Source organism: Homo sapiens, chromosome 16 (genome assembly GCF_000001405.40).
Source record: "Homo sapiens chromosome 16, GRCh38.p14 Primary Assembly".
In the NCBI taxonomy this organism is placed as follows: Eukaryota; Metazoa; Chordata; class Mammalia; order Primates; family Hominidae; genus Homo; species Homo sapiens.
Window position 1 is genome coordinate 35547365 of NC_000016.10, and position 8372 is coordinate 35555736.

The following is an 8372-nucleotide window of genomic DNA, read 5'->3' on the forward strand; positions in this document are numbered from 1 at the left end:
TGGGAGGCAGAGGTTGCAGTAAGCCGAGATCACGTCACTGCACTCCAGCCTGGGCAACAGAGTGAGACTCTGCCTTAAAAAAAATATATATATATATATATATATAAAATACATTATATATATTATATATTATATATATTATATAAATATATTATATATTATATATATAATATATATAAAATATATATTATATATAATATATATTATATATAATATATAATATATAACATATATATTATATGTTATATATATATGTATGTATGTATTTCCCAGGGTTTTTTCACATCCCAGACTGTGCAGATCAGGGAGGGCCATCAGCAGTCCCTTTACTAGTTGCCCACAGACCCGTTTGGCTCCAGGCAATGCATATCAGGGCATCCAGGTGGGAGCCACAGCAGCCAGCAGGGAGGAGGCTGCCTTTGGCTGCCTGCAGTCTGGTGGCCTCTGGCTCCGCAGGTGTCTGTAAGGCCCCAGCGCAGCCCCTCCTCACATTGCCTGTGAAGGCAATGTAACTGCAGAACATACTGAGGAGGAAATTGAGGAAAAAAATGTCCCCCATATATTAGAATAATTGTCATTAGATCGCTTATGCTGCAGACAGGGTCACTGTTTATCATTACTGCTGTGAAACCCGCTACAATTGGAAGAGAAAATGATCTAGGGCATACCCTTTGATTCCCATAAGTTGGTGTCAGTAGGTTTCATGCAGAAATTTATTTTGACCATGATTTACAAAGTTACGTCCTTCTAGATCAAGGCAGTCAAAATTGAACAACTGTTCATGGAAAATGAATTGTTCAGCTGAAAACTAAATGAGACCCTTATGTACGTGAGCATAGACATAAATTTAAAATTGGAGAGACTGTGTCACCCTTTCACATTCACCCTGGCAGTGATAGCTGTGATGGCTGTGAACCATGGCAGGTTAGAACTCACTTTTGCTTTGATAAGAAAGATGAATCTTTTGTTGGTCTACCACTAAGTAAAGAGGAAAATGAGTTGGAAATAAGTAAACAATTAAAGAAAATATGACTAAAATGGGGTTTACAGAATATAGATTATGAACATGAATAGACACTGAATAATCTAAAATATAAAGATAGAGCTGGAAATCATAGTGAGCAGATTGGAAGTGAAGGAACATTCTAGAGAGATGTTGCTCCTGCATCTGTTCATTCTGAAATTACTGACAGTAACAAATGTCAGAAGATGTTGGAGAAGATGGGTTGGAAAAAAGGAGACGGCCTGGGGAAGGATGGTGGGTAATGAAATCTCCGATTTAGCTTCAGCTTCAGTGAACATATGGAGGCTTGGGGACAGGCAATCCATCCTCAATTGAAGACGTTCAGCTTCTCTGAAACAAAAAACAACCTGGGACAAAGCGTGAGAGAGGTTTGCTGAAAATTTCCCAGAAACCAAACCTTAAAAAGATGACCTAGGTACCAGGCCTTGGATAAAAGGAACTGTACAGTGAAGGTTAATCATAGAAGAAAACTCAAGCTTTTCAAAAAATAGAGTTTGGAAACTCTTATTTTATTATATATTTGCAGTACTTTTCTCCCCAAAAGAGTCTGTGGCACAGAGGAACAGTGTCACAGTTTACCCCTTCTTGATTCAGAAATGTGTAATAAAGTTTGGTTTGCAAATTTTAAAAAACATTTTTTAAACTAATAAATATTGACTCAAGTTATTCAGTAAGTGGACTAAAGTTTACAGCTTAAAGATGAGTTTATCAAACTTCCTTATTTTATCTTGTCATTTATGACATCCATATAAGCAAAAAGCCACATAAGCAAAACTCATAACCACTAATGACTTAAATGTACATTTGTCTGTGTGTCCATGTATTCACAGTAAGGTGCACAGCAAAAGAAACAACAAAAGTTTATAAAAATAAATCTGACTACATGCATCATTGTTTATGCCCTTTAGAAACTAGATAAAAGAACCTCTTATACTTGAAATAGCCTAAATATTATTGAAGAACAAATGAACAGCTGATATATTGTAGAAAATTAGTCAGTGTTTTCTTTTTTGAAGAATCCGTTTATTAGTACTATATCTTCAGTATTTATATTGGTTTGTTTCATAGCTAATGTGATATTTAGATATGAACAACTGAGTACAGTGTTGAAATAGTGTGCTGGCATTTGTAGTTTTCATAAATATTATTGCAGGCAGTGGTGTTGTGCCACAGAAATCTGATTTCTAGTACATAAGGATTACTTAGCCAGGGCCTCATGTTTAAGATATTTAATGAAAATGTCTTCAACTGCAATAAAAACATTGTAACATTAAAAATACTCTTTTCAATAAATTCTAAATTAAAAAATTCAAATGATACCTTTTATGGAGTTAGGGAAGTGCTAATAAGGTAAAATGGCAACTGAAGCCAAAAAATGTAAATTCAGGTAAATACTTTTACCCTTATTAGTTGTATGTTAAAGGAAACAATAATAAACAATAATTCTGACCATATACTATTTACTGCAGTAAAGTATTTGAGAAATTTGTGCATAATACATAATTAATTTTCTAATGGTATAAAAGTAATCACATTCTACAAATTATTACAACACGGTCTATTGAAGACAGCGGCATTTCAAGTGAAGAATCTTAGAGTTTCTCACGAGGCAGTGATATATGCCATATGAAATCTAGGTAAAATATTTTACTCATGTATGCAACAGTTGATATTTCTGCTTTCCAGGAAAATAACATGCTTTAAAAACTTAATGCAGGTAACTAAAATCACCAAGAAGTTATAAGAACTCACACAATGACTAATATAGTTGAAAGAAAATTATGAAAACTTCTCAGGACCAGAAGTAAATAAAGGGTATAATCCAGAGAAGTATAGACCTAAGAGGCCAGTGCTCCATTCAGATGCATCTGATCACAAGGACATCAGATCCACATGGGTTGTTCAGCTTCTGACAAAGCAAATGGAATAAACAAAGAGAAACTGCCTGCAGGCATCCAGAGTGTGATGTCTCCTATATGTGAGAGCTAAACTATAAATTATGTTGCACACAAGGAGAAGAGCTATTAGAGTGAAGCATTAAATTATATGGCACATAAAACTCAGATATGAGGATTATAATTACATGTTTGCCAATATAATGAAAACACAAGAAACCGAAATAATGTGGAAAAAACTATGAGCTTGTCAAGTCATATTTGGAAAAGAGGCGAATGGAAAGTAAACTTGAAAATTTGGTAAAACAACTTAATGTACAGCATACAAATTACACATTGAAATAGACTGAGATGGTGAGAGGACTAGTAAACTGGAATGCTGAGCACAATTAATGTAGTAATATACTTTTTAGAAGGCAAATTAATACAAAATACAAATATATATGAAAATTAGATGAGAAGAAATGAAAAACATTTAATTGCTTTACTATACTATATAAACAGGAGGGCAATATTCAAAAAAATCAGTGACTCATAATTTTCAGAAATTGGAAACCAGGCATGAATCCTATAAAAGTTTAGAGTGTGATGTGTCAGAAAAGATAAATTAAGAAATACTTAAAATAAATAATGATTTTGGTTATTGTGAATACTGCTTCAATAAACATGGGAGTGCAATTATCTTTTGGACATACTGATTTTATTTCCTTTTGATATATACCCAGTGGTGAGATTGCTGGGTCATATATATGGTAGTTTTATTTATAACTTCTTGAAAAACCTCCATGCTGTTTTTCCTAATGGTGGTACCAATTTAAATTCTCACCAACAGTGTATAAGTGCCTATTTACAGATGAATGAAGAAAATGTTATACATACACACAGGCACACATACACACACAGGAATAATGCTCAGTCATAGAACAGAATGAACTTCTGTCATTTATGTGAACATGGATGAACCTAGAGGACATTATGTTAAGTGAAATAAGCCCATCACAGAGAGAAAAAGACCACATGATGTCACTCATATGCAAAATCTAAAAAAGCAGATCTAATAGAAGTAAAGAGTAGAATGGTGGTTACTAGAGGCTAGGGAGAGTGATGGGATGAAGGAATGGGGAGAGGTTTGTCAAAGTTACAAAGTTACAGTCAGGGAGAATAAATTCTGATGTTCTATTACACAGTAGGGTGACTATAGCTAATATAATGTACTATTTATTATAACACAGCTAGAAGAGAGGTTTTTGAATTTTAATAGCACAAATAAATTATAAATGTTTACACTGCTAGATATGCAAATTACCCTCATTGGGTCATTTTACAGTGTAAACATGCACTGAAACATCACACTGTAGCCCATAAATATGTACAATTATTATGTGTCAATTATACATAAAATAAATCTTAAAAAATAATAATGATCGAATTGCATAAAATCAAAACGAAGAAAAACTCTTAAAAGTAGTGAGATAGAAGACAGCTAACCTGTGAAGCTGAGGGAAAACACTTACCTCTGTATCAAGTCAGAAAACAGAAAAATTAATATCAGTAAAATATTAAAAGCTTCTGGACAGCACAGAAATCTATTAATAGAATGAAAAGACAACATATAAAATGAAAAAAAATATGTGCATCTGGCAGGGAGTTAATATCCAAAATATATATATGACTCAACTCAACAGCAATAAAAATCAAAAACCCAACTAAAGAGTGAGCAAAAAACCTGAATAGACATTTTTCCAAAGAAGACACAAAGAAATGCTCAACATCACGAATCATCTGGAAAATGCAATCCAAAACCACATGAAATAGTACCTCACCCCATTTAGAATGGCCATTATCAAGAAGACAAACGATAACAAGGTTTGGATGAGGATGTGGAGAAAAGGGAACACTTATACACTGTTGGTGTGAATGTAAATTTAGTACCTTTTTAGATTCATTTATTTATTGATAAGAAACCTGCATGGAAAACTATGCAGGTTTCTCCAAACAAAAAACAAAAACCTAAAAATAGAACTACCATATAATCCAGCAATTCCATTATTGAGTATATATCAAAAGGAAATAAAATTAGTATATTGAAGAGATAGCTGCTCTCTCATGTTTATCATAGCTCTATTGACAACAGCCAAGATATGGAATCAATCTTGTGTCCATCAGGGATAAATGGATAAAGCGAATATGGTGTATACACATAATGGAATACGATTTAACCATAGGAAAAAAAAAATCCGCCCTTTGGGAGGCCGAGGCGGGCAAATCAGGAGGTCAAGAGATCGAGACCATCTTGGTCAAAATGGTGAAACCCCTTTTCTACTAAAAATACAATTAGTTGGGCGTGGTGGCACGCGCCTGTAGTCCCAGCTACTCAGGAGACTGAGGCAGGAGAATCGCTTGAACCCGGGAGACGGAGGTTGCAGTGAGCCAAGATCGCGTCACTGCACTCCAGCCTGGCGACAGACGTTCCGTTTCAAAAGAAAAAAATAATATTAATAAAAAGAATAAAATCCGGCGCTGCGCGGTGACATCAGTCTCTGTCGTTAATGCCTCGCGCCGGCTACCGTCCTGCGCAGTCTCTTTCTGAGGACCCCCCCCCCCACTCTCCGCCTTCCAATAAGGAGTTCAGGTTTTGCGGTCGCCGTGGTTGCTGTTCCTGCTGCCACAGGTTGGAACTGGAGATGCCTCTTCCTTCTCTCAGGACAGAACCATGAGCCTAGCGGCAGCGCCGGTTCGCGAAGCTCCCCCTCCGCCAACGGGCGCCTCCTCAGAGCCGTCCGTGCCCGCCCTGCCGGGAGCTGACCCGCAGCGCAGTGCAGAGTTGCTCCTGTTGGCGGTGACCAGGGAGGGACTGGAGCGGCGGATCATCTCCAGGAAGCGGGCTGAGTAGGAACTGCAGCCGCCACATCCTCTCTTTACCCGGGGATGTGCAGGATTACCGTGAAATCATGACTCGTCATCCTGCGAATTACCAATGGGAAAATTGGAGTCTAGAAATTATTGCCTCCATTTTAGCCCACCGGTTCCCCAGTAGCTGTATTGGGGTGATGAAGTGCTCCGGAACAAATGCGCTGCCATGATAGTTTTCTGAAAAGTAACATGTTTGGTTTCCCAGAACACAATACAGACTCTGGAGCTTTTAAGCACCTTTATATGTTATTAGTTAATGCTTTTAAGTCAGAGTAGTTTATCAAAGGAAAATTTGAATGATTGGAATAAGGACTCCACAGCATCTAATTGTAGATGTCCAATTCTTCTCATACTACAAATCATTTCCAGGAAGGAAAAGATAGGACCTTTGAAAAATCTGATGGATCGGCCATGTGTTTTTATCCACCATCACTAAATGATGCATCTTTTCCTTTGACTGGATTCAATAAATGTGTTGTTTTGAATCAGTTTCTTTGAATTGAAAGAAGCCAAGAAAGACAAAAACATAGATGCTTTCATTAAAAGCATAAGTACAATGTATTGGCTGGATGGTGTTCATTCCGGAGGAAGGAATACTGGAGTTACTTATCCACAAGTCTTGAAAGAATTTGCACAAACAAGAATTATTGTTCACACCCATGGAACACTTTACCAAGTATGTGATCTAATGAGATCTTGCATTGGAAAGGAGCAAAATAAATTTTTTAGATACTTGGGGATATTGGTATGCTGGTGAGTAGCTGAATTCATTTCACGAAGGAAGCTCCCTACATAGAGAATCCCTTTCAGAATTCATGAAGTGTTTGAGACTACAAGTATATTAATGTACTTGTTCAGCGGAAGAGCATAAGCACTTTGAGTGTTATAAATTCAGATAATGGAATGTACTTCATAGATGTATTGTCAGTTTGGGGGTATGGAGGGAAGCACACATTCCTGAAAAATGAGTGTAATGTGCGATAGTATTTTTTTTTTTTTTTTTGAGGCTGAGTCTCGCTCTTGTTGCCCAGGCTGAAGTTCAATGGCACTGTCTCAGCTCACCGCAACCTCTGCCTCCCGGGTTCAAGTGATTCTCCTGCCTCAGCCTCCCAAGTAGCTGGGATTACAGGCATGTGTCCCCACGCCCGGCTAATTTTTTTTTTTTTTTTTTTTTTTTTTTTTTTTTTTTAAGTGGAGACGGTGTTTCTCCATGTTGGTCAGGCTGGTCTTGAACTCCCGACCTCAGGTGATCCGCCCACCTCGGCCTCCCAAAGTGCTGGGATTACAGGCGTGAGCCACCACGCCTGGCCTGCAATAGTATTTCTTGCTTTGGAATGTGAGCAATTTTTAATTTGGGTTGGGTTAGAATTAGTTAATTTGAAATCTAACAAGGTGGTTTATGATAATACCCAGGAAATGTAAGACCTTTAGAAATGAAAGTTACAACGTAGTTTTTGTAAAAGGTAACTAAAATTGTTTCTGTTGGAGATAGTTGATTTTCTGAGTAATGTTACTAATTTTGGTGACATTTTAACAGTAATTAGCTATTTTGGCATTTAAAACTTGAGTGGAAACAGTTTATTTCTCTTCAAACAAAAGCAAAGGCACAATGTTGTTTCTTGTCATTTTGGAATAACTACCCTGCCTCTTGTGTTTTGTAAACTCATTCACTCATTGTTTAATGTGCCATGAAGTACTTTTTTCTTGAGAGTCAAAATCTGTTTGTTCCCAGTGTCCAAAAATGTGCAATAGTGTAAAAGTGGTTTTTAAAAACATAGCCGGGTGTGGTGACATGTCCCTTTAGTCCCAACGGCTCGGGAGGCTAAGTCAGGAGGACCCTTTGAGCCCAGGCTGTAATGCACCATGATTGTGTTTGTGACTAGCTACTGCACTCCAGCCTAAGCAACATAATGAGGCCTCATCCCTAAAACAAAGAAAACAAAACAAATTACACTTGAGCACTATCGCTTAATTTTTAGTTGACAGTCTTTTGTTGATTGTTTTGGGTAAGACATTCTGGGGCTTCTTGAATATTGGCAAAAGACAGTTGTTTTGGAAAACTGTTTTTTAAATTAAGCATATTTACGTATTTTGGATAAATTGAGACAATTTTCAATGTTTTATTATATTAATGTTTTTGAAAGAGAACAACTTAGGTAAGATAAATGTATAATGTTGTATTTGTTCATGCTCTATGAAAAAGGAAACAGATTCCATATGTCTAAATCAATGTTTCTCCACAATCATAACTTTGTCTGAAAAAAAAATTGTCCTTGGCCAAAATGGAAAATTACATTGCTGTAAGAAAAATTACAAGGGGAAGTTTAAACATCATCCAGCCTGAGGCCAGATCCTCATATAAAACAGTCACAATTTCAACTCTGAACTGCATCCTTGTGTGAGATTTAGAATCTCACTAGTGGACTCTGTCCATGTATGAAGGTGACAATCTTAATTGTTGGCTACATGTGTTTATGAGATTCACAAGCTCACTGTTTGCTGGGCCCTGTTATGTAACTTTCTATACACCCCAAGGCTTT

The 8372-nt window shown here is 36.7% G+C and overlaps 2 pseudogenes; both read left to right on the plus strand.

Annotated features, from left to right (window-relative positions):
* Window positions 490-1627, plus strand: AGGF1P7 (angiogenic factor with G-patch and FHA domains 1 pseudogene 7; annotated as a pseudogene).
* On the plus strand, window positions 5543-8161 carry C2orf69P1 (chromosome 2 open reading frame 69 pseudogene 1; annotated as a pseudogene).